The sequence below is a fragment of the Homo sapiens genome, chromosome 3, assembly GCF_000001405.40.
Source record: "Homo sapiens chromosome 3, GRCh38.p14 Primary Assembly".
NCBI classification, from domain to species: Eukaryota; Metazoa; Chordata; class Mammalia; order Primates; family Hominidae; genus Homo; species Homo sapiens.
Genome location: NC_000003.12, coordinates 86,479,846 through 86,507,491, shown reverse-complemented (window position 1 = coordinate 86,507,491; position 27,646 = coordinate 86,479,846). Strand labels below are relative to the sequence as shown.

General features: G+C 33.9%; 1 long non-coding RNA gene across 1 annotated transcript, besides 1 other annotated feature; it reads right to left on the bottom strand.

Moving 5' to 3' along the window:
* Positions 1-10,495: 10,495 nt before the first annotated feature.
* LINC02070 (long intergenic non-protein coding RNA 2070) lies at positions 10,496-25,549 on the bottom strand. Its single transcript, NR_135563.1, has 2 exons — positions 25,435-25,549; positions 10,496-11,701 (listed from the first exon to the last, which is right to left on the bottom strand). It is a non-coding gene; the product is annotated as a long intergenic non-protein coding RNA 2070 (long non-coding RNA).
* Positions 25,563-26,762: an enhancer, noted in NCBI's record as "BRD4-independent group 4 enhancer chr3:86529880-86531079 (GRCh37/hg19 assembly coordinates)". NCBI's record gives its function as "activates an origin of replication core promoter dependent on BRD2, P300/CBP, MED14 and CDK7 cofactors, and independent of BRD4, by STARR-seq in HCT116 cells {active_cell/tissue: HCT116}" and the evidence as "EXISTENCE:reporter gene assay evidence [ECO:0000049][PMID:35650434]".

Sequence of the window (27,646 nt, the reverse complement as noted above, 5' to 3'; positions counted from 1 at the left end):
ATTTAAAAAACCCAAATGTGTAAAAAATTACTCTTTTATCTTTTATCCACTAAAATTTACTGAGCACCTAAAATGTACCAGTAACAAATAATTAGCACATGTTACTGCAAAATACCTTTACTATCATCATCACAATTGGCATTATTATAATATTACCAGAAATCCACAAATGTTTATTAAAACACAACTATTGGAGAAATTGCAGTGTAGTGGTAGGAAAGACTATCTTTGTCCTACACTTAATGGAACTTATAGTCTATTGAAATAATAAAAAAATTTTACATGGTAGATTTCAATTTAAAAATGCATTCAGTTGCACCATCTATTTTCTCTTTATGACATGTTAAACTCTTAAATACCGAATATTTAACTTCTCTTATTTTCCTATTTTATCATAAACATAATCCTCTGGTTTTACTCATCCAGCTGCTTGTACCATGATACCTATCATTTAATCATATTATCACAAAGATACTACTTTCTGGAGCATCTGTCTGGGAAGGTTATTCGAGTTTAAGGATGCTGCAGTTACAATGGCACATTTAGTTATAAATATTCCCTGCATAAGCAGCTGGCCGTAGAATACACAAGCTCAGGAGGGAGAGCTGGGCTGGAGACTTGAAATTAATGAGTCATGTTGTTGGTAGATGAGGCCATTGATAAAACCACCCAGGAAAGGGAAAAAATTAGGTGAGAACGGGGAGAGAACCTAAGGATTTACGTCTAAGAAACAGATGGGATTGGTCAAAGGAGAAGCTTGCCTAGGAGACATGTAAGACTAGTCTGTGATACATGAGAAATTAGGAGATTGTGCCCTGGATGGGAGCTTACAAGAGCAGAGAGTGGTCAAACATGATTAAGATACTAGACTAAAAAATTTCAAAGTAGTTTCTGCAATTAGGGTATTAATGGTGACCCACAACAAGTGACTTCAGGGAGCTGGAATTGATTTTGTGTTTCAAGAGTGAATGTGGTCAGGAAGTGAAGAGAGCCAGACTGTATGATTATATTTGACAACATCAAGAGTACATTTTTATTTTATTTTTTTGTGTCCACACTTCTAAAAGTCAAATATTCTCTCTCTTTTCTAATCTCCTCCCCTTCCCTTCCTTCCCCTCTCTTTTCTCTTTCTCTCTCTCTCTCTCTCTCTCTCCTATCTTTGGTACCCTGAGACTACTTACCAGTATTCTTCAGACACTAGAATGCTGGAGTAAGAATTTGATTGACAGAAAAAAAAGTTGAAATTATATAATTCTTTATAAATGTTAAGTTTTACTTCCCTGGTACTGGATTCAACATGTGGAAGGAGTTAGGTGTTTGCTTCACATTTCTGCTTCTCTGGTAGTCAGCTAAAACCAATTTGGTAAATAACACTGCTCTCTGGGGGAACTGAATGCCAAGATTGGCAGCTAGTTCACTGAGTTCTCTCTGAAGTGGTTCAAGAAAGAAAAAAAAATTCTGATCTCTATGGAGCATTCTTCTAAAAACAGATATATCAACCCAATGAAAAATTCTTCACCAAAGCATTTATAGAGCAAACTTCCTGGTATTGAAATTTTGACATGGTAGACCAATCTAGGGAGATTTATACTTTTACTTTTATCCTAAAAAAACAGTATCATAAATTATTCCAAAACGATTCCTTCTCTATTTACAACACTACTTGGAATATGTTCTGGAACATGAGTTAAGTGATTATTTCACCCTTTTCTACATATTTGATGTAGCTCCCTGAATCTCTCCTAGTTTAATAAATTCTCCACATTATGCAAATAAACTCATACAACAGTGCCTAACACAGAAGAAGCATTCATTAAATATTAAGTATTTTGGGTGAGAGGCAAATCGTATGTCTTCCTTGAAGCTGAAATGCTCTGTGATTGCTTTTCAACCTCTTTGTGCATCTAGGATGCAGACACATAACCTAGATTTTAGCATAAGAAACACCCTCTATGGTTTTTGAATTGAAATACACTGACAGAAGGATATTAAAGAAACAGGGGCAACAGAAAATACATTCTGATGGCCAAGAGTGGCCATGGGGCAAACGTGCTGATTTCTGGGGCAAAAGTAGCAGTGCTTTTAAGAGCAGTCTAAGATGTCCATAGAAGCTGGATCATCCTGTGTTCAGTGGTAGAGACCTGTTCCTCTTCTGTGCCGTGAATTTGGCTAAGTTCTTGACTGCACCCTAGCATCCTTCGTCCTACTCTTTTTCTGTACTTCATTTTCAATATTTTGGGTGTTTTGTGATCTCACACTGTTTTTAAAAATTTATTTTCTGCTTAAACTGGAGTCAGACTTTTTAGCCTACAGCTAAGAACCCTGATAGATACAATTGCTATATACATCAGAACTCAGAAACAGTCACTAAGGACCTTATCAAATTTGCCTGACTATATATTATTAATACCTCAAAACAATTCAAGTGTGGTATACCAATGTGAAAATAATGTTTATTCTTCAGATCTTGCAACTAAATGAGATATAAATGCTTGGTTACTTAAAACATCAATTTGGTGACTGAGACCATAGAAGGTCATGTTTGATTTCCACCAATGGAGATGGTTTGTTCAAACTCAATGGGCCACTTTCTGGCTGATTTCTGGTGATGACCGCTGAAAAGCATGTTGATTTAAAAAAAAAAAAAACTGCTTAATAATGTCCCAAGCAATATTTCCAGCCTCTGTACTTTAAGGACCGTTTTGAATGTGATCTCCAGACACTACCTATTTGTTTACTTTCACAGCTCTGTGATTACCGCCCTTCCTGATGGACCACTGTCCTACCTCAATACCTTTGTTGCCAAAGCAGGAATTTTCTAGCTAATAAGGAAGTCCATTGAAAATGTGTGCCAGTTTCTTCCTGTTGAAGCTGGAAGACTGAGCTCCATAATTCTTTAAGAGGAAGGGTATGTTTCTGGGTTTAGCTCAAAATAAATCTTTGTTTTGGAAATATCATGCAGAACATGTATCTTTTTCTTTTTTTCATCATTTATTTCTTTTATTTTTTTTTACTTTATTTTAGTTTCTGGGATACATGTGCACAACATGCAGGTTTGTTACACAGGTATACATGTGCCATGGTGGTTTGCTGCACCCATCAACCTATTATCTAGGTCATCTAGGTTTTAAGCCTCACATGCATTAGGTATTTTCCTAATGCTCTGCCTCCCCTTGACATATGTCTTAATATGCTAAGCTTACTCAGTATAAGAAGAATTTTCTCTTGATGTATTTATTATATGGGATAAAACATAGAAGTCATCTAGAAGCCTAAAATTTAAAAGCCCATATTGATACTTTGATAGTATTTTTGAGTAAGTGAAATTCATATATTTCTGCATGGGGAAGAGAAAGATCCCCCACTCTCTATATGCAAACAAAGTGGCTTCATTTTCTCAAATTGGAAGCAATATTAGCCAAGAAATGCCCTTGATACCCACTTGCTACCAGAAAGAGTAATTATACAAAGAAGATAACCCCCAGCTGGTGTGTAGATAAACAGATTCTTCATAAAGTTGACTTATTTAATAACCTATGAATACAATTGGAAAAGTTATCTTTCAGTGTTCAGCTGAACTTATAAAGAATACTATACTTTACCAACACTATTTAATTAGCAAGATAGACACATCATAAAATCCAATATAATTTAGATAAAACCATTGTAGGTATGACATATAACCTAGAAGTTTCACCCTCAGGGTTTGCATTTAACCAAACTTTTGTTTTATTTTTAGGAAAATTTCATCCACATTAATGGATGTTCTTTTCAGTTTGACACTCCTCAATTTTTTAAAAAGAAAGCAAAGTCTACTGTAAGCTCAGCTGACGGTTTAAAGATATGATTTTATTCTTTTTCAGAACAACATTAAGATCTGCTTTCCAGTATTTGTCAAAAAGCATACTCAGTTCACTGCTATATAACACTCATTGAAACCTGCCACAGAATTTTTAGAGTAGTGAAACTACAGTGTGTAATACTATAATGGTGGATACGTGCCATTATAAATTGGTATCAACCCAAAGAATCTAAAACACCAAGAGTAATCCCCAATGTAAACTGTGGATTTTGGTGATAATGGCTTTGGTATGAATGTAAGTTCATCAGTTGTAGTACATGTACCACTCTAATGGAGGAATGTTGATAATGGGGGAGGCTATGCATATATGGGGACATCTCTCTACCTTCCAATAAATTTTGCTGTGAACCTAAAAATGCTTTAAAAAAACAGTCTACTAACAGCAAAAACAACAACTTGGCTGAAATGAATAATTTCTATAGAATATTGCCTAAGAGAAATCTAAACATTCCATTCATTTATCAATCAATTTACATTATTGCTTTCTATTTTTTAACAAAAGCTCTGGAACACTCTAAACAAACAAGGCCTTGTGTAAGCAGTTACTATGTAATAGAGATGAAAGTAGAATAATCTTAGTTGGAGTGCAAAGAGAAAGCCTTGATTCTAGCCACTGAAACCCTGGAATCCCATAGATCTGGATAGCAGAGTTTGGAAAACATGACACTGAATACTGTAATCCAGATTGATGTGTTAAAATGTTCCATTGAAGATTGTATACCAGGGACGTGCTGTTTTGAATTCTCACCACCTAGGATTTAATTTATTGCATTGCATATGCTGCATAGCATGGGTCATTGGATGTATTTCTGACAGATACAACCCTCTAAAACTCATCACTGTGTTTATTATAATTACAATGTGAAGATGTTTGCCATAGTTGCCATGCAACTCCTCTTTACTCACAGGAAACTGTATTTCACATATCACAGCTAGGAATAAGTGTACCCAGGTGGATCAGTTTGTTTCCCTCTTTGGGACACTGAGACACATGCATAATGTGTTCCTCATTTGCATTGGTTGCTAACAAGATCAAGGACAAATTTGTGGCTAAAATCTAGCAAGGATATAATTACTTCTGGCCATATTTTTTGTGCTAATTATTAATTTCATGTACTCTGCTTGTATCTTTAATTTTGTTTGTTATTGCTTTTTTAGACTCTAATTTTATCTTTAACCTGTTTCATTTCCTCAACCAAAAAAATGAAATCTGTTTGTATTATTATCATTGGAACAGAAAAGATACAAGTTCAATAAAATAATATAAAAACCTACAACTCATTGTTCCTCATCCTCTTGAAGTCTTAATTGTATTTATTTCATATAGTGATATGGTTTGGCTGTGTCTCCATTCAAATCTCATCTTGAATTCCCACTTGTTGTGGGAGGGACCCGGTGAGAGGTCATTGAATCATGGGGACAGACGTTTCCTGTGCTGTTCTTGTGATAGTGAATAAGTCTCACAAGATCTGATTCTTTTAAAAAGGGGAGTTTCCTTGCACAAGCTCTTCTTTTGTCTGTCACCATGTGAGAAGTGCCTTTCACCTTCCACCATGATTGTCAGGCCTCCCCAGCCATATAGAACTGTAAGTCCAATAAACGCTCCTTCTTTTGTAAATTGCCCAGTCTTGGTCTTTATCAGCAGTGTGAAAATGGACTAATACATATAGAAACTTCTGAAGTTTTTCTTTCTTTTCTCAATATTTATCTTCAACAAATCCACTCATTCCTAAACTGTCCTTACACATAAATGCACACACACACACACACACACACTCACACCCCATATAAAACGCTCCCAGGTTTTCAAATATTTGATGTGATCTTGAACAGCTCGTTGTGGACAGTCCTTTTTCCTCAAAGATAATTTAGGTAGAACCATTTGTCTTCCACTTTTAATTCAAATACTTCCTAGGTTCCCAGTTTGGAGCAAAAACATGAAATTCAAAATGCTTTCAAAACCTTAATAATTTGGCAGAGCAAATAAATAATAAAGGCAGCCACTAGTGTCCTTGTACTTTATTAGAAGAATACTTAATGGCAGAGCTTTCTGAAAATGTTTTCAGAAGCTAGGCAGACACACCAAAGAGAGTTATGATACACATACAGATATAAGATATGTAAATTGAGTTGAACTTTGTTTGCATCTATCAACCTATCCTCAATGAAGTTAACCATGAATTTCATAAAGCTCTGCTATAGTAATTGGTATATCTAAAATAGTAATGTTTCTCCCAGGAATGGTCTGTTGGAAGCAACAATTTCAACATGGAGGAGAACAGAAATTTAACATTATCACTTCCAACCATATTTCAAGGGAATCGGGCAGTTTCTATGCCATCAGTTGATTGACCAAATTAACAAACAATACTCAACTGTCCTTAAATACTTAAATAATTTTATTAGAAATATTCTTCTTAAAGCATCAGGCTCAAAAAACTATCTAGTTGAAAATAAATATTTCCCAATGTTAAAAAATTATCTGCTTAATAGTCAGAGAGCCTAGCAGATCCCCAGGGATAATTAGACAGAATCGCACTATGGAAACTCGGAGGCACATCAAGCAGATAATTTCTAATACATTTTAAGCAGAGGCTCTCCACTTTTGGCCTGTAATTATTTCCCACACAATATGATCCTTCCCAGGGCAGAATTTTTGAATATAAACATAACTTACAGTGGGAACCACTAATGAAGGAGCAATGCTTAGTGCTATCTAGCACAAGGACATGCATAAATAATAATCTCAAAATGCAAAAACAGAATGAACTACTCTATTATTCAAGAGTCATGGTGCTCAATACATTAGTATCCCCCAAACTAATGACATCAAGTAGACTTTTAGTCTGGCTAAAACTTTCTAACCCACAAAAGCAATATAGATAAATTTATCTTTTTCAAGTTTGTGATATTTTATAATTTACTGTATAACTTTAAGCAACATATTCGTAGTATTTCTATCAAAGCCAGCATTTTAATCAAACCAAATTTTCTAAAATATTGATTTATGCATTGAATATTTTGTGTAAATTAATCTAGTGTTTTATTTAGAGTAATTGTATTTATCTCTGATTTTCTTAAAATTCTGCCACAGGACAAACTCTGTAGATAGATTTCATAGACTCTAGATCCAACATAATATTTATAAAGCCCACTAGACAATAAATGATGACAAAGAAAGTTAATGATTTTTTATACTCCACCTGGAGCCAAGACCAAGATAGGAAATGAAGCACCTTATTGCTTTCTAGTTTTTTTTCCTGGTTTCCTAAGTGAAAGAATAAAGGAATCTTGGCTTCGTTGGGGGAGTTGGGAGGAAAGGATGCGTGCTCATTGGCAATAGGGGCAGCTGTCTGAGCTGACCTTTCACCTCCCCTTAAATGTATAACTGGCCTTAGCAGAGCACACATACATGTTTACTCCAAATTTGGCAGATGCTATCTTGGAAATGCTACTTGAGATGCCTTCATCCCTCATGACCCCTGTGTTGTTTCTAGTTTCACTTATTTTTTTTACTGTCCCTCTAGTTTATCTATTTAAAGAAAGAAAAATATTTCTTATCTTCATGTTTTATTTAATATTTTTGGTGTTCTGAATTGGGAAAACCTGTTCACAACATCTTGCTAGCATAATTCCAAAAATTATAAATTACATTTTTTTATTGTAGCAACTTTTCACATATTTTAGTCTTTTCCCTCTATAGAATACTTGATGAGGCAAAACGTGAATTATATCTATGTGCCCTCATGAATTAGACATGTCCAGGGCTGCAATTATTCTACTTCCCAAAGAAGAGGTTGAGATAAACAATAGTGAGGATTTTTAAGACTGTCTTTTGTTGTATTGCTATTTCCATCAGAATGAAGAATAAACTCTAATACTACTCACGTGGTTTTGCTCTGTGTTCCCACCCAAATATCACCTCAAATGGTAATCCCTTCGTGTCGAAGGAAGGATTTGTTGGGAGGTGATTGGATCATGTGGGCAGTTTCTCCCATGCTGTTCTCGTCACAGTGGGTGAGTTCTCATTTCCTTGCTTCCTCGCTCTCTCTCTCCTGCAGCCTTGTGAAGAAGGTGCTTGCTTCCGCCTTTGCCTTCCGCCATGATTGTAAATTTCCTGAGACTTCCCCGGCCATGTGGTACTGTGAGTCAATTAAACCTCTTTTATTTATAAATTACCCAGTCTTAGGTAGTATTTTTACACAGTGTGAGAATGGACTGATACAACTATTTATTGTAATCTTTTTTTACATTGTGAAGATGAATTCAAAAACTAGGGCCCAGTTGTTGGGAGATATTCAACCATCAGATCTGTTAGCAGCTCTGTGGAGAAAAACAAGGCAACTCAAAACAACTCAAAATGACAAGAGTTTCTGTCAACTTCATCTCATAAGAATCGCGCCATTTTGACAAGATAAAGGATGTGTGATGCATAGTTTTATTTGGGTCTCTGGATTACAATAAAGGAAGACGTCCTACATATATTATTGTAATTTTAAGGTAGAGTCAGTGAGAAAAAATTATTTTGGAAATATGGGACATATAAACATATTTCAACAACATTTCATGTTGAAAATTTCATGTAAAGAAGTTCATGTAAAAATGTTATCTGCTAAGTACAATGGTGGACCTATTAAAAAATATAAATTGGAAAAAAAAATCTTATTCCTCATTCCTTTCTGAAACTAACCTTATCACACAAAGCATGTGTCTTCATATATTTTGCTAAGCCTCTCCATTCAATTTAATAATGAAATAAGAAAGACTAAATTATCCACTCCAACATTTGTAAAACGTGGTTGGACTTGTTTGCCATGAGAAAGAATTGTTTTCCTAAGCATATTTAGTATTCTTTCAGTCCTTTAACTTCCTGGCCTCTAAATGTGGAATGAATGGTTCTATCTATAAACTTATAAATAATAACCTAAGGAAGAATAACTTGGGCAGCTTTCTCATCTTCTTCTTGGAAGTTTCCGGATATCATGTGCATAAGTTTGCTGCTCTGCTCTATTGTTTTCTCATTTGAATCTCATGTGGCACTGCCTGTTAATACCTTATAAACTGATGGTTACATTCTGGAATTTACAAATTTTCTAACTGCCAAACTGCCCCTCAGACCAAATTGCTTTCCCATTTAATGTCCATCAGAAATAAAGGTTATATGTTGGCTTTCATCTTTAACTTTCATTTCATTCGAAGAGTACTACTTATAAATCATCTCAGAGACACCAATAAAACACACATAAACTTTTGCTTAGCTTCTTATTGACTATAAGTTATTGACTTTTTTCTAATTTAATGCATAATGTCAAATTCATCTCTGAAAGAATTATATATAATGGAAGTGTAAAAGCAATTAGCAGACATACTTAAGAGAAAAAGTTTGAAATATACTGAAATCTAGTACGCTTTGTCAAACCACACAAACTGTTCACTGGGCTTCTGCTGACTGATACATAGGTTGGATTTTGATGCATTCAAAATTTCAAATATGCCTAAATATATTTAGTTTTCCTCATTACCCTTACATCACATCATTTCTTTTAATGTCTTTGACTTTGTTTCTCTTGAGATTCCAAACTACAGGCTCAGAAATGATATTAGGAGGACTTTATCCATTTGTTTTATTTCTCAGTAGAAACCAAGGTCTAGAAACGGTGAACCATTTATTCAATATCACACACCTAATCAGAAACAGAGAGAAAATCACAATTTAGTTATGAGAAGAAAATCAAACTATTCAGCTGTTTAATTACATATGCAAGGGAGGCAGTTACTATTATATGAATAATATGATAAAGGCTTACATTTGTTGAACACTTACTCTATGCTGAACATGATTCTCAGCAATTTACATACATTACTTCATTTTCGTTTTTTTTTTTCTTTCCAGCATTTAGGTTCAAGGGGTACATATGAAGGTTTGTTACATGGAGAAACTGAGCGTTGCATGGGTTTGGTGTACAGATTATTTTGTCACCCAGATAATAAACATAGTACCTGATAGGTATTTTTTTTTTATCTTCACTCTCCTCCCACCCTCTACCCTCAAGTAGACCCCTTTGTCTATTGTTCCCTTCTTTGGGTACTCAATGTATAAGTGAGAATACACTGATACTTCATTTTCTATCACAACGACTCTATAAGGTACACATATTATCTCACTCACTTGCTAGATGGCAAAAGTGAGACTAAAAAAGTTTATGTAATCTGCCCTCATTGCATGGTGGGTAGTTGAGGCAAGAGGAATTTGAAACCTGGATTGACTGACATAAAGCTTAATACTTTAATCCACTGTGAAGCTGTTCTCTCTTTTAAAATGGAAATGGTTCTCAATTTTCATCTTGGAACTACATTTACTTTTTAAATTTCCAAACTCTCCATTCTATCTTATCCTTGTGAGAAACCATTTAAAATTATAAAAAAATTAAAAATAAATAATATTGAAACATAGATATTCGGTAGTTAACTTTTGCTCATAACATATAAATGTGTGTCCAGAATCATCTAACACAGGAAGGAGAACTTAAATGTCAATAACCAAATTAAAATTTTAATGACCACAACTTTGCATTGTGCCTTCTGCGCATTTTCAGAAGATGCTTGACAAAATAATATACATACACACACAAATACAAGTATATATTTATTTATATATGACACAAATACGTTTAGACAAAAAATGAATTTAACTCATCACTTAATTTAGCTTTTACTTGTGTAGGCATTTTATGAATATAAATTTGTAATATAAAGTCCACTTTATAAATTTAAGCACTAAGATATAGATAAAACTATTCACGTCATATCCATTATACAGGTAATAGAACTGAGGCAAATAAATGTCCAAGTTCACACAGGTAGAAAAGTGGATTTGAATCTGAGCAGTGGATTCCGAGTTCATGCCACTAATGATTATTCTTTCTTGCTTCATGGTTTTGGGTCTTGCTTTTCTTAAATAAAGCAATGGAATTCTTTCAATAAGTCAACACTATCTAATACAACCAGCTAAATACTATTGCATAAAACTTTATTGTAGCAAAAGACAAAAACCACCACAAATTTTATTAATTGTTGGACATTATTTGTTATGTACAAATTTCATATAAAGAAAATGTTACAAATATAGTATTAGATTGTTTCTACATCAGCACTGCCAGCAGAACTTTCTGCGATGATAAAAGGCTGGACCCAAGATATACAATAAAGTTGCCACAAGTAATTATTGAGCAATTAAATGTGGCCGCTTTGGTTAAGACACTGATTTTAATTTTATGTAATTTTAATTCATTTACATTTAAATAAAATAGCTACCATATTAGACAGCTCAGCACTAAATAATGCCCTTAAGTCATGGCTTTCGATCGTTTATGACCGTGACTAGAGTAAGAAATATATTTTACATCACAATGTCATATGCTATAACAATGTAAGTGAATGTTTAGGTGTGTATGCAACCAAATTTTTTAAATAAAATCTTACTAACAGACAGTTATTCTGATATTAACTTTTCAATTCTATTGTATAATGAAAAGTTTGACTCAAAAAAATTGATTCTGTGTCATATTAACAGTTTGAAATCAGCTGTTTGACAAATCTAGCAAACGGTATGTGTGTGTGAAGATGTCACTTCTACTCTCTTTCTACTCCCTTGTTTTATAAAGAGAACTGAATGTCACTGCCAAGAACAGACACAAACGGCATTGAACATTTTACTGCTGTCCTTCCTCTAGTGGAGTTAAAAGAAGTAAAGAGGGTCTTGAGTCTTGAGAGGAGGAACAGCCTCAGTGGTAGACATCATAGTGGATCCCAGCAGGTAAGCACAGAGAAAGACCTATGCTAGAAGGAAATATAGGAAAAGAGACTGAGACAAGGAACACAGTCAATCTTCTCTACTCTGGGCTATAGAAGAGGCTGGTCTATATTTCAAAACACTAATGTATACACACACACACACCTGTACCCTTCCTAGTGACTGAATAATCTGGTCTTAAAATAACAAAAGGACATATTAAAACTCTGTCACAATTAGCATATGACAAATCTAATGCTTATTGATGATGTCTGCTAATTAAAGTTTACTTCAAAACAGTATATGAAAGTATTTACAAGTAGAATGTGTCAGGCTGTCTTGTTATCTCATATCTGGGGGAAGGCTGTCAACCTCTCCTTTCAAGCTAATAACTCAGAGCTTGGTTTTTTAATAGTAATATTATATTATAATAATTTGTCTTAATTGAGTTACAAAATATATGCAATATGTTATTGAAACTGTTTTCTAATTTTACCTTTTTGGCAAGGAGTTTTTTTTTTTAACTTTTCCATATATATATATATATATATATATATATATATATACACACACACATACATACACACACACACACACACACACACACACACACACATATATATATATACACACACACACACACACATCTAATAGTAAGCCTACTTTGTATTGGTATTTCAATGCATATACATTATATATATATATCTCCACAACTTTGAATGCCATTTATGCAATGTATTATGATCTTATTCCCATATCATCTCCTCTCCCTAAAGAAAAACATTGTAAGAAATCATCCCAGTTAAAACATAATCTTTGGTGTATTTATCACAAACATCTAATATCAACAAAAATTAACTATAGAAGTGTTTTGGTTTTGAAAGTGTGAATATTATAAACTTTACAAAAAATGTGATGCTCACTTCATAGCCCACATACTAAAATTGGAAACAGATTATTAGTAAATGTGCAAAGACTCTATCTAAGGATAAGACCCAAATTGATGTGGATTCCTTTTTTCTTCTGTATTCTCCTTGCATCTTTTTACATAAGCCAATGATAAATTTTAATAACAGTAAAAACTGAGCAAATATTTTAAAACTATAATATAATCATTAAAAAATAAATGAAGGTTAAATGGGAGCAAATCCATTTATACCTGTATATGTATAATAAAAACATCCCTAATCGACATAAATTTGATAATCTAACAATAAATGCCGTAAAATACATTTACAACACTTTCTAAAAATTGTTTAGAAATTGGGATAGTCAGGCAATGCATTTACAGCACAAGTCAAGGTAACTCTTTAGAAACAGTAACTTTTTAGTAGAGCTGAGAAGAAAATATACAGAAGTACAAAAATGCAAATTACTTTATATTGGTATTTTAATGCATATATCAAAAATATATTACCATTGGAAAGAAATACATTATATGTATATAATATATAATCTTTTATATTTTTTTATCATTTATATATAATCATTTATATTTATTGTATATAAAATCATATATGATATATAAAATCATTTATATATAATCAATGTTTTGTTAGATGCATAATATTGTATCACTGAAAGATAAAATAATTATTTAATCAATTTTTATTAATGAACTTACACATAGTTTTCCACAATTAACTAAATAATACTGAAATGAATATCATCTATGTACAAATTTATGTCCTTTAAACATAATTTCATGTAAAACATTTAAGAATTTCATATTGTTTCCTTAGGATTAATTTCTGTAAGTGAATTTGCTAGGTTAGTTAGTTTTTATACTTTCAATATTTTTTATACATATAATTATGTTGTTTTCATATATGTCGATGTCAATGTAGTACTAACAAGATAGTGAATACTTTCTGCCAAGACATCAGAGAAGGCAAAAAAAGAGAGTCTGACATTTGAGTTGCTTTCTCTTAAGGTAGTTCTCAAATTTCGGTTCACATCAAAGTCATCTGGGAAGTTTATTTAAACAAAGACTGATGGCCCCAACCTCAGAATTTCTAATTCAGCACGTATTAAAAGGGGCTTGGCGATTTGCATTTCTAGCAAGTTTCTTGGTGACATTGCTGCTACTTGTGTGAGGAGCACACTTGGAGAAACACTGTCCTAGGGACCTTGCAGATTTGTAGAAGTATCTCCCTGACAATTACAGTAGAGGCTTCTGAGAACAGATTGCTGAACAGAACTTGAAATTGGAGGGCAGTACCCCAGATAGCCTTACTGGATTTTACAATTTTAAATGGGGAAATAATACCAAAGTCACAGCAACTTTTCTATAAAACTAGCCATAGTTCAATTTATGAAGAAAGAATTACTTTAAAACTTAAACCTGAGAAGGATATTATAAGGAAGGAAAATTACAAACCCAACTCACTCATGAACGTAGAAGTAAAAATACACATTATCAGTAAATTTAGAAGTACACTCAAATTTAACACATTCAGAAGTACAAATTTGTTTTTAATGTTTGACAATTATTTCTGAAACAATTAAACATCCACTTATTGCCAAAACACATAGCACACTACAACTAGAAGGAGGAATTTCTTAATCATCTAAAAAACAACAATAAAAATCAACAAAATTACAGGAGAAATTTTGGAAGATGTTTTTCTGTGATATAAAGAGATAAGGATGACCATTACTACAATGTCTATTCAGCATTACAAAGGCAGTTCTTGAGAATAAAATAAGTCATGAAAAACAAACAAACCATAATAAAAGTTGAAAAGGAAAATAACTCTAACTTGTGATGCATAGACAACTTCATTATTTGTGTAAAAAAATTTAAAAACTGAGAAAAAATATTTAATGTAATAAGTGGCCTCAAACAAGAATTGTGAGTACAAAAGTAATTGTATTAGCAACAGATGTTTAAAAGATATAATTTTATAAAATGTGCCACTTACAACAGCAAGAAAAAATAAGTCTAAACAATGTGCGAGGCATCTACATAGCAAAATTATAAAACATTATTTAGAGAAATTAAAGAAAAACAAATAAATATGACATATTCATCCACTGTAAGAGATAATACTGCAAATATACAAATTTAATGTGATCTCAACATAAACATAAACTTTTTAGAAAAAGACAAATGGGTTTAAAAATATAATTGGACATAAAAAAGATTTAAATTATTCAGAAAAATCTTTAAGAAGAAAGTAATGTGAGAATTTCTGCTAGGTCAAAGTTAGTTTGTATATTTTAAATAACTTTTATGCATATTACTATATTGTTCTTATATACTTTGATATCAACAGAGGCCTAACACAGTAATGAATAATATCTCTTATTAGATATCAAGACTTATTGTAAATCACAGTAATTAAAATAATGAAGTATTGACTCTAGGAAGAACAGAATGATAAAACAGAATAGAGAGGATAAAAACAAACCCATGTATATAAGTACAGTTTAATTACTACAAACGTGTTAATGTAGAGTAGTGGGAAAAATATGATCTATTCTGTAAACAGAACTAGGTCAGCCATCCACCTAAACTGGAAAATAAAAAGCGAAACTAACCCATAATCCCATAATCCACAAATACATATGAGTAAATTTATATTAAATGATAGATCTAAAAGCACAAGTTAAAACAGTATTTATCTTAAAAATATTAATATTTACTATATTTAGATTAATATATCTTAAAATAGCATGTGTTTAAAAAGTACTCATTAAGAAGAATACAGAGCTTTAACTGTAAATGCTATAGTATACATTGGATTATTTTAAGTTGTAAACTTTCATTTCTCAAGACACATTTAATATAATGAAAATCCACAGAGTAGAAAAGCAACATATATAACCAAGAAGGTTATTCTATCCAGATATATAAAAATGTTATCATGTTAATGAAGAAAAGATAAACAACATAATTTTTAAATAGATTTTTAAACTTCAGTAAAGAAGATATTCAAAGGAAAAATTAACATGTGAACTTGTTTAACTTTATCAATTATCAGGAAAATACAATTTAAAGCCTCAATGAGATATTACTATACATATTAAGATGTCTGAAAGTTTAACATTTGTCTGTACCAACTTTGGCTGAATATATATTGCATTAGATTGTCTTGTATACTGTAAGAACAAATGTAAATTGAAGAAGCCACTGTGCCAAGCAATGTAGAATGATCTCCTTAAGATAAATATATGATTGTGCTGTGACCTAAAAATTCTATTCTTATGGATATATACAACAGAGATGTGTCCTCAGGTGCACCAGAAGTTAAGGACAATAATTTTTATAGTAGCTATATTTATAAAAGCCAAATCTGCAAATAATCTAAATGATAAACAACGGCAGAATTCATCTATAAATTGTGATACATTTACCAAGTCATGCTGTACAATAATAAAAACAAATCACCTAGAGCCCAAGGTGATGGAAAAGTTCTAGGATTAGACTGTAGTGATGGTTATACAACTATAAATATACTACCATTTATCAAACTCTACAATTAAAAATGATGAATTTTATATTTTAATTAAAAGTTGAAATTAATAAAGAAATTACATATGTATGAAACTGTTTTAAATAAATATTCTTCAGAAAAATATCAGTAAATTGGTACTAGAGATAGAAATTATTAAAAGGTTATTAAATTTTTTAAAAATAGATTTTAATAGTTTTTTTATAATTCATCCAATTTAACAAAATCAATTAGTCAATACACAAAGTTTTTTTTAAATGGATACCATTTTAATAATTTTAGTGCTTCTTATTTTCAAAACTATCTTGATTTGGACAATAAATTATATGATCACACCAAGCATAGGTCTTTATTTCCACAGCTTTAAGAAATCCTTCTTCAATTTTTTTCATAAAAAGGTAGAACTCAAACAATATACTTTATTACTTGATATTAGTATGAAACACCACTATTTTTAAAAGTGTGTTCAGATATTCGTTCATATTTTCCAGACAGTACTGAAATATCAATGAAAGTGATGTTAGCCTGATATTTACGGTAAGATAACTGAAACTCAGACTTTTCTAAAATCCCAAAAGGTGAGCTATGGTTGCACTCTGCTGCCTCATCTACAATGCAGCAGGAAATTTGGATCTGTTATCCTGGATCTCACATTGGTATTAATAAAGTATGAGTATGAATTATCTTTTTTATAGAAATAAGGCCTTGCTACTGAGAACTTTTCCATAACAATGACCCTGTCTAGTTTGCCTTTCTTGTTCCTCTTTTTTGTCTTGCTGCTCTTACTTAAATGTGTCCTGAGAAAATACTATCATCTGCCCCAGGCAGCTTTAGGAGTTCCTTTTTGGTTGTCTTTACATTATTTCAGTTTGTTTTCAGCAACAGTTCAGAACAGAGATTGTCCTCCAAGGCTTTGTATTTTAGAGGATTTTTGCCTTTTAAATTTTACTGGTATGGGGTTATATTTTCGCTTCCCTTCTTGCTTCTCCCCACATTAAAAATACCTTTCAATATGAAATAATAAGTTAAAAAACATTACTTTATCTTGGGTGTTAAGTGTGTGCACATAAGACTGTAAATTATCTTTGTGTCTACATGATTGACTCCCAAACTAAATAAAATAAATGTAGTGTGCTTTCCTCTTTTATCACAATTCAACTTCTTATTGAAATGATAGTCTATTCATTCTTGCCTAAAATGATTTCAGATCTTGTTGATTGTTCTAATATCTTTCAAAAAAGGACAATTAAAATTATAATGTGTGAATGAGAAGTCATTCCTTATTAAAAAGCCCTATGTATGCTGTGATTTCCATATCTGGATATGTTTCTAAACATGTAAAGTGCAGCAATTCCCAATCAATTCTTTGAAACATGCATCAATTTTTCAGAAATGTGAACATAATAAAACGAAGGATTTCCGTTTTGTACTACATGGAGAAGAGTCTATATTTCTTCACCAATGTTACAGAAGAAAATAAAAGAGCTTCAAAAATCATTTGTTATTTGATTTAAGGTTATTATTAGTCTCATTTTTCAAATGTTTATAATCTCCTTTCTGTACTTTTTGCTAATATATTAAATGATTTAAGTTTAAATTATCTTCAACATATTCCCATTTTTATTGTGTTCTGTACTATATTTCAAAATGTGAGCAAACCATGATCCATTTATTAATTATGAAAGTGAAAATGTGCTTTATTATTACATGATGAAACCAAGATTTCAAATTGATAAAAATTCTTCTCTCTTTAAATTCTTACAAAGAAGATGAAACAATAACTTGTGTCAAAAAGAATCTGTTACTTAAAACAAGATTATGTGCCAGGCTCATTGGCTCACACCTGTAATCCGAGCACTTTGGGAGGCCGAGGTGGGCGGATCACAAGGTCAGGAGATTGAGACTGTCCTGGCCAACGTGGTGAAACCCTGTCTCTACTAAAAATACAAAAATTAGCTGGGCGTGGTGGCGTGGACTTGTAATCCCAGCTAGTTGGGAGACTGAGGCAGGAGAATCTCTTGAACCCGGGAGGCAGACGTTGAAGTGAGCTGAGATCTCGCCACTGCACTGCAGCCTGGCAACAGAGTGAGACTACGTCTTAAAAAAAAAAGGGTGAGGGGGCTTTTACAGGAAACAACAGATGCTGGTGAGGCTGTGGAGAAATAGGAATGCTTGTACACTGTTGTTGGATGTGTAAATTAGTTCAACCATTGTGGAAGACAGAGTGGCGATTCCTCAAGAATCTAGAACCAGAAATACTATTTGACCAAGCCATCCCATTACCAGCTGTATACCCAAAGGATTGTAAATCATTCTACCATAAAGACATGCACGCATATGTTTATTGAAGCACTGTTTACAATAGCCAAGACTTAGGAACAACACAAATGCCTACCAATGATAGACAATGATAGACTGGATAAAGAAAATGTGGCATATATACATCATGGAATACTATGCAGCCATAAAAAAGAATGAGTTCATGTCCTTTGCAGGGACATGGATGAAGCTGGAAGCCATTATTCTCAGCAAACTAACACAGGAAGAGAAAACCAAACGCCGCATGTTCTCACTCACAAATGGGAGTTGAACAATGAGAACACATGTACACAGGGAGGGAAACATCACACACCAGGGCCGGACAGGGGCTGGGGGCCAAGGGGAGGGAAAGCATTAAGACAAATACCTAATGCATGTGAGGCTTAAAACCTAGATGACGGGTTGATGGGTGCAGCAAATCACCATGGCACATGTAAACCTATGTAACCTGCACGTTCAGCACATGTATCCCAGAACTTAAAGTAAAATTCAAAAAAATAGAGAATATGCATAATAAAGGGACTTTTATACTGTACAAATATCCATTTATTTTTTGTTTCCAAAGCACTTGACCTTCGTATAAATGTTAACCTCTAAATCTATTTCCTTCCTGATTCTGCAATCTGGCCAAATTTATTCAAGCATAGGTTTTTATAAAGAACTCTGTGCTTAGGTCATCTCTGTGGAAATATAAATCAAAATGAGATATTTACCTATTTAAGGTACTTTACGACTTGTGTGAAATGTGCAGTTTGGAGAGATGAGAAGAGTTGAAGAGTAGCTATTGGTTTCAAGTCATCTTTAGGGAGAAGAAATAGCTATGATATGCTTTGGCTTTCAGCGTGATTCTGAAAGTTTTATGATAATGCACAATCTACCAAGTTACCACATGTGACAGCTAATCAACTAGAAGAATAAAGGTGCCAGGGCAGACAGTTCCCATCAGGATGAATTCTTGTGTGCAGTGACCCACTAGCATCATATTTTGAAGCTTTCCTTATTATCATTTCATCTTTTATTTAGTATTTCATCACTGTGGTTTCTGCTATGCCCTTGTTTTTACTAAACATATTAATAAAAATGTATGCAACATCACATTTTAAAAACTATCTCTGTCATGAAGGAAATCAAGAAGATATTATTACTTCTGTAAACCCTAGACATGGAGGACATTTTAAATATAAATCTAAAACAAAAAAACTAAGGTCAATTTTAGATAAAAGGTTGATTTTGTATTATATAAAAAGTTTAGTCAAAGTTTGAAAATTCAACAGAGAAATGGTAAAGTGTATAAATATGCATTTTTCCACAAAAGAAATGCAATAAGCATTTAATTTTTTTAAATCACTCCTACTGATAACACAATGCAAAGAAAATTAATTCAACACACTTATGTGGCTTCTCAAATTGGCAGATATTTAAATAAAGTTAGAGATGTAGAAGGGGGCAGGAAGAAAAAGAGAGAGTGAGAGAGTACTCTGGGTTGGATTGGAGACGCACAGGAAAAAGATGTGGACTAGTAGTCCACGTCTACAAACTTATAAAAAAGTATTCAGTATCAGGAGGAAAGCACTGAGTCATGTACACAGATATTTAGCTTCATCGCAGCCTTGCTTTTAATAACAAAAGAAACATTCAAAAAGAACAAAGGTTCAAAAAAAGACTACTTAAATAATTTTTCATACCTGAGGAAAATGTGTGTTTAATGTATTTTATGTAGTTACTATGTTCTAGAAACTTTATATTAAAAACAATGCTTCAAAAATACGCAAGAAAATTATGCTTATTACATAATATTAATAAAATTAAAAGAAATTTTAACTGTATCTTTATATACATGATATTATTCCATGATTAATTTAATTTATGCATAACAAAATTTTGAATGTTTTTATGCTTTTTATGTATTTTTAAATGTCCAGTCTCTACAATTAATATATTACTTTTCTAAATAGAAAAGAATTTGAAAATAATAGCTTAACATTGTTGACATATCATTTACTGATAGCTTTATTCATCTTTTAATTACCTAACACTTTTTTAGAATTACATTTTTTATCTCTGAAAAGGTACCTTGTGAAATAAACTCACAAAGATTATACAAATTATGTAATTTGGAAATGCTTTCCATTAATTCCTATGTTAATTTGCAGAGAATTTATTAAAATTTAATTACATTATATCAACTCTAGAATACTGTTGGCTCACCTATAAAACACAGAGACCAATTAAAATTTGGGAAGGCCAGTAGTCTTAACTTAATTGAACACATACTTTTGTGCACCCTGCTAAGCAGTTAAAGGATGATCAGAAAGTTTAGTTCATTTAAACATAATTGAAGCAAATTTGATGGTAAGTAGCTTTTTGAGCCCAAGCATGAAGTTATAAGACCTTGTATTTTCCATCAAACAGTTGTTCTGTGCTATGTGTATAAAATGATAACAATGATAAACTTTTTAAAATTATCAGACTAGCTTAAACAAAACACATGACTAAAAATTCCTAAATATCCTCTATTCATTCTCAGTAAACTATCGCAAGAACAAAAAACCAAACACCGCATATTCTCACTCATAGGTGGGAATTGAACAATGAGAACACATGGACACAGGAAGGGGAACATCACACTCTGGGGCCTGTTGTGGGGTTGGGGGAGTGGGGAGAGATAGCATTGGGAGATATACCTAATGCTAGATGATGAGTTAGTGGGTGCAGCACACCAGCATGGCACATGTATACATATGTAAGTAACCTGCACATTGTGCACATGTACCCTAAAACTTAAAGTATAATAATAAAAAAATTTAAAAAAATAAAAAATAAATTAAAAAAATCCTCTATTCACTGTTCTTTCAAAATTAAGAAAAGTAATATAATTCTGTTAAAAGGCATCTTGCAACTTTGAAGCATCTGTTTTCAGATTCATGCCTAGCAAGCTATGAATGAATTCAAGGAAACCATCCTAGACAGCCAGAACTCGGTCATTCTGACAGCTGTTTCACCTGACTGAACAGGCCCAACTGAAATGAACTGAGGTTGTCCCAAATCAGTCAAGCCACCAAGAAAATCAGTAGGCTCATAAGAAATCTAAAAAGAAAAACATATTTAATCATTAAGTTCTAGTGTTTATTGTTACAGAGTGGGAGCTGATACACCTGTATTAAATAAAGCCTATATTTATAAATTATTAATTATAACATTTATAAATTATTAAGATGATCATATTAATTATTTTTTCATTTTAGGCTCAATACAGTTTCAAGATATCCTATAACTTTCAGGCATTTGTTCTGAGATTCATCTTTTAATAAGCTATTTTAAATATTTAATAAAGTATTTTAAATATCTTAATGTTATACCCCGAGAGATTGTATTTGGGGCTAAACAATGCAGCCATTTTTACTTATAGGAGCTACATAAACATAAATATAGAAAATGTTTTTACAAGGAGAGAAATTTTTTGCCTTACATGGAATAGAATAATGTCTAAGTAATAATTTAGTGTACAGAAATGAAATAAGGCCAAATCACAACATAATCCCACTATGTGTTCATCTCCCTGCTAATGTGAATTAGAACTGTGTGAAAGTAAGAATATGAAAAGCACTGACATTCTCTTTCAAGACTCCATTTCCTCCCTGCCCTCAGTTTACTTTCACTCTCCTCAGCTTAAGAGTGTTTCACATGAAGCACTGGGTTCTGAATTACCATTTTTCAAACTGGGAGATAACATGTCATTACTCTGATTTTAGTGATTTTTCTGACCCTGAAAGACTAGACTCATAGTAAATCAAGTAAACATTTTCTTTTGTTTTGAATATTGAAAAAGAAAAAGCATAGTTAGGTATCTAACATATTATCCATTGATATTTTAAAACATCCTAAAAATACTTTAATGATACATTAGCTACTTAATTATTAGATAAAAACTTATTAACTTTATTCATTGAGTGAAAAAAGATGACCACAAATTAACTGTTGAATAGGTTCTCAAATCTTTTAAAATTTTCATCAGGAAAATCTCTTGATGGGCATATGTGGGGGATTCATATTTCCTAAGGCTGTATTCCGGAAATGTGAGTATGGAAAAGTGATTTTGGGAAGCAGATGAGGTAGACTACTCAACTGGGCAACTATGAGACCTGTGTTTCAGTAGAGTGGTGGGGTGCCTATGTCTTTCAAAATAATTATTGCCTATCACAGCCTATCACAGCACTCAACTCTCATAGTCTGATACATGATTGGTATGGCGAGTATTAGAGCAATTTATCTGGGTCAAAGTGTTTAGTGAAAACTCATTAAAATGCAAATATATTACTTGAGAAAGGTAACGTATTAAGTCACAGTACATATTAATAATTTAACATATATTATGCTCTCCTAAGGTTCTCATAATTGATCTGTTGACACAGCTCTTAGAAGGCATATTCACTTGCATTTTTGATAATAGGCTTCTCAAACCCAACATGATTTTATCTCAATTCTTGATCTCCACTCTCTGCATAGTTTTTTTTCTGGAGTATTTCCTCTCTTAGTATTGCATCAACCTAATAAATGATATTACCATCCACTCACCTTGTTTCTCAAGGAAAGACCCTTGTTTTTCATCTTTCCTTCACTTATTTTTAATATTTAGCATCTAAGACAACAGCAAGTCCTTTGGTCTATCTTCTTATTACTCTTCTGTTGAAAAATCGTCCAGTGGCTTCTCCTGCAATAATAATTCAATCTAAACTACTCATTTTAACCCCTGTCTACCTCTCCTACCCATCTCTTAGCACTCCTTTCTTGGTTCACTCACTTTGGTCTCACTAACCTTTCTTACATAATTTATGCGTTACTCCATAAAATATCTCCCATAATGTGTGAATATTGTTTATCTGTTGCTGTAACCCCAATGTGAACAATACCACCTTAATATGTCATAAATGACTCAAGAATTTACCTAAAGCAGCGTGTCAAGACATGTTAATACATTTAATTCTCTCACACAATCTAAAGAAACTTTCTTGATAGAATATATGCATAGCATTCAATATAAAATCATAACTCCAGTCAAATATGGGAATAAAAGAACTCCAAAGCCTTTGAATAAAGCATAACCATATCATTCCAGGATTTTCCCATAGAGTATATTTGTAAAATATTCAACATCTTTGGCATTTTTCTGAATAAAAACAAAGAAGTGCTAATATTTATAAATGTACCCTATATGAAAGTTTTCAGCTGAATATATTTATGTTTTTCAGAAAAACGTTAAGAATTATAACTGACAAACTTTAAAAGGCAGAAATTATGTTCATTAATTCTTCCCCCAGACATACACAGATTGGAAAAATATGATTGTTATTTACTATTAGTTAAGTTATTCAACTCTGCATTCATTCTATAAACATGTATTAAGTAACTATAAGTGAGGGAAAAGAGTGAATTTCATGTTAGGATGCAAATATTTATATATGATATGATCTCTGTCCTTAAGTAAATGAGTTTAGGTATAACGAGAGACATGAAAATAAATGGCTAAAATGCAGTGGAGCTGTGTTCAGAGGTAGACATATACATAGGTGTCTTAGTACATTTATATTGCTATAAAGGAATACGTGAGACTGGTTAATATTTATATATATTTATAAAGAAAAGAGGTTGTTTTAACTCAGTTCTGCAGACTGTGCAAGCAGCATTACACCAGTATCTGCTTCTGGTGAGGTCTCAGGAAACTTACAATCATGGTGAAAGCAAAAGGAGACAGCATCTCACATGGAGAGAGCAAGTAAGAAAGAGAGAAAGAGGTACCAGGTCCCTTTTTAAACAACCAGATCTCATGTGAATTCATTACAATGGGGAGGGCACCAAGCCATTCATGAGGGATCCGTTCCCATGACCCAAACAAACACCTCCCACAAGGCCCTTCCTCTAATACTGGAAATCACATTTCAACATGAGTCTTGGAGAGGACAAATTTCCAAACAATATTAATAGGCTAATATGAATCAATATGAGGAAAGGTTTCCAATATTTGAAATGCTGTGGGGAGAGGAATGCAAGAGGAGGGGTCCAGAAAACTTCAGTGAAGAGATTACTTCTAAGTTGAGTCTTAAAAATTGATGAGGTGGCCAGGCACGGTGGCTCACACCTGTAATCCCAGCACTTTGGGAGGCCCAGGTGGGTGGATCACAAGGTCAGGAGTTCAAGACCAGCCTGGACAAGATGGTGAAACCCCATCTCTGCTAAAAATACAAAAATTACTCAGGCATGATGGTGGGTGCCTATAATCCCGGCTACTCGGGAGGCCGAGGCAGAAAATTGCTTGAACCTGGGAAGCGGAGGTTGCAGTGAGCAGAGATTGCACCACCACACTCCAGCCTGGGTGACAGAGTGAGACTCAGTCTAAAAAAAAAAAAAGGTTGACTAGGTATTAGGTATTAGCAAGGCAAAGAAAGAGAGAGTAGTTCTAAGGAGGGATCAATGTGGAAGGCAAAAGTACACGATAAAAAAAGATAAAAGATGAAGAAGAGAAAGCATGAAGGAATCTGATTATGCCTTATTTGCCTTGTTCACCTCTTTATTTATTGTCCATTTGTTTCTTCAACAGACATTTGCACAGCTCATAGGTACCATGCAGAATGCTTCACAGTGAAGAGCCTGAACTTTGTACTACATGTGAGAACAATAAATTTCCTATGAGCTTGTATTTTAGGACATGTTACTTTGACATTTCTCTGCAGGGAAAAATGGAAGGGTTTAAGACTGCAGGCATGAAGAGAGGCTGTTGTAATAATCCATGAAAACTTGATAATGGTCCACATTAGGGCAGTGGTAATAGAGAGGATCAGACTGATTTAATAAATATTTAAAAACAGCAGGGTGGAGCAAGATGGCAGAATAGAAGGCTTAACTGATCACCGTTGCTGCCTGCAAGAAAATCAATTACCAATTTAACAACTATCTACACAAAATAGTACTATCATAAGAACCAAAAATAAGGTGAGCACTTACAGTACCTGGTTTTAACTCCACAGCATTGAAAAAGGCACTGAAGATGTAGGAAAAACAGTCTTGAATCACTGATACCACCATTCTCCCATCCTGTAGCAGCAGCAGCATGATGCAGAGAGTGATTCTGTGAACTCAGGAGAGGGGGAGTACAACATTTGTAAGGCATTGAATTCAGTGTTGCTCTGTTATAGCAGATGGCAAAACTGGACCAAATTCAACTGACTCCAACCTACAAGGGAGCACTTAAACCAACCCTTGCCAGGGGGGAATCCCTGATTCCAGCAGTCTGAACTTGAGTTCCCACAAACCTTGCCACCATGGGCTAAAGTGCTCAGGTGCCCTACCTAATGTTAAAGGCCATCTAGACCATGAAGACCGCAGCTCCTAGACAAGTCCTACTGCTGAACTTGGCTGACAACCAGTGACATGGGGGCATGTGACATACTGAGGCACCAGCTAGGGCAGCCAAGGGAGTCCTGGCATCACCCCACTACTTAACCCCCAGCTGCACAGCCCACAGCTTCAAAAGGAGCTTCTACTGAGGAGGGGAGTGAGAAGAGCAGGAAAGACATTGTCTTACATCTTGAATAACAGCTCAGCCACTGCAGGATAGAGCACCAGTCAGAGTCATGAGGCCTCCTTTCCAAGCCCCAGCTACTGGATGACATTTCTAGACACACCTTGGGCCAGAAGGGAACCTGCTGCATTGAAAGGAAAGACCCAGCCCTAGCAGAATTTATAACCTGCTAACTGAAGAGCCCTGGGGCCCTGAACAACCAGCAGTGATATCCAGGTCTTACATAAAGGGCCTCTGGTGAGCCTCTGATACTTACTGGCTTCAGGTGTGACTCAGCACATTACCAGTTATGGTGGTGTTAAGGCAAGACTACTTATGCTTAAGAAAGGCAGGGGGAAAGTTTGCTTGCACCTTAGTTCACAGCTCACCCACAGCAGGGTAAAGCAACTAGGAGTCTCTTAGAATCTGGATTGCAGGACTTGGCTCTTAAATGACATTTCTAAACCTAATCAGGCCCAGAGGGGAATCCGCTGTCCTGTGGAGTCTCAGGCCAGGCAGCATTCACCACAAGCTGACTGAAGAGCCCTTGGGCCTTAAGGGAACATCAGTGGTAATCTGCTGGTACTGCCCATGGGCCTGTAATGATCAGGACCATAGAGTAAGACTCTTCTGCCTTTTGAAAGGGGAGAGAAGAGTGGAAATGCAGTTCTCTGTGATTCTCTGTGTTAAGCAGAAATTCTGGAATATGAAAAATGCAAGTAACTGCATCTTTTGATGTGAGTGCTAGCTCTGCCACAGTACAATGGAATACTATGTAGACTTCTAAGATTTTTTTTAACTACTCCTACTGCTAAGATGCCTTAACTCCTGAAGGCAACTTCGGACCCACCCAAGGCCTGGGAAACTCACTGCCATAAAGTGAAGGACATAAGCCTGGTTGTGTTTGTCCTCTACTGATTGTAGAGTCCCCAGATCTTGAGCAAACATGGGCAGTAGCCAGGGAGTGGTTATAGCAGGCCTTGTGTGAGACCCAGTGCTGTGCTGGCTTAATGTCTGACCTAGTGCAGTCCTTGTGGTGGTGACCATAGTCATGCTTATGTCACTCTACCCCCAGCTACAGGTGGATTAGAAAAGAAATAGAGACCCTGTTTGTTTGGGAGAAAGTAGAGGACAAGAACAAGAGTCTCTGCCTGGTCATCTAGAAAATTGTTCTGGATATTGTTCAAGACCATCAAGCTGGTACCTCTATGAGTCTGCAAGAACCATAGCGTTACTGGGCTTGGGATGGCCCCTAAAGCAGATACAGCTTAGACCACAAAACTCAATTTTTTTCAAATATCTGGAAAGCCTTCCCAAGAACAATAGGTACAAACAAGCCCAGTCTACAAAGACTAATTTAAATGCCTAGCTCTTCAACTCCCAGACACAGATAAATATCTGCAAGTATTAAGACCATCAAAGAAAACCTGACCTCACCAAATAAGAAAGCAGTAACCAATCTATATGTTAGGTCACAAAACAAGAAGAAATTAAGAAGAACATTGAAAAATTTCTGGAAACAAATGATAAACAGAACATACTGAAACCTATAGGATACAGTCAAAGCAATACTAAGAGAGAAGGTTATAAGTACCTTCATCAAAAAAGAAGAAAAACTTTAAAAAAAAAATCTAATAATGCATCTTAAAGAACTAGAAAAG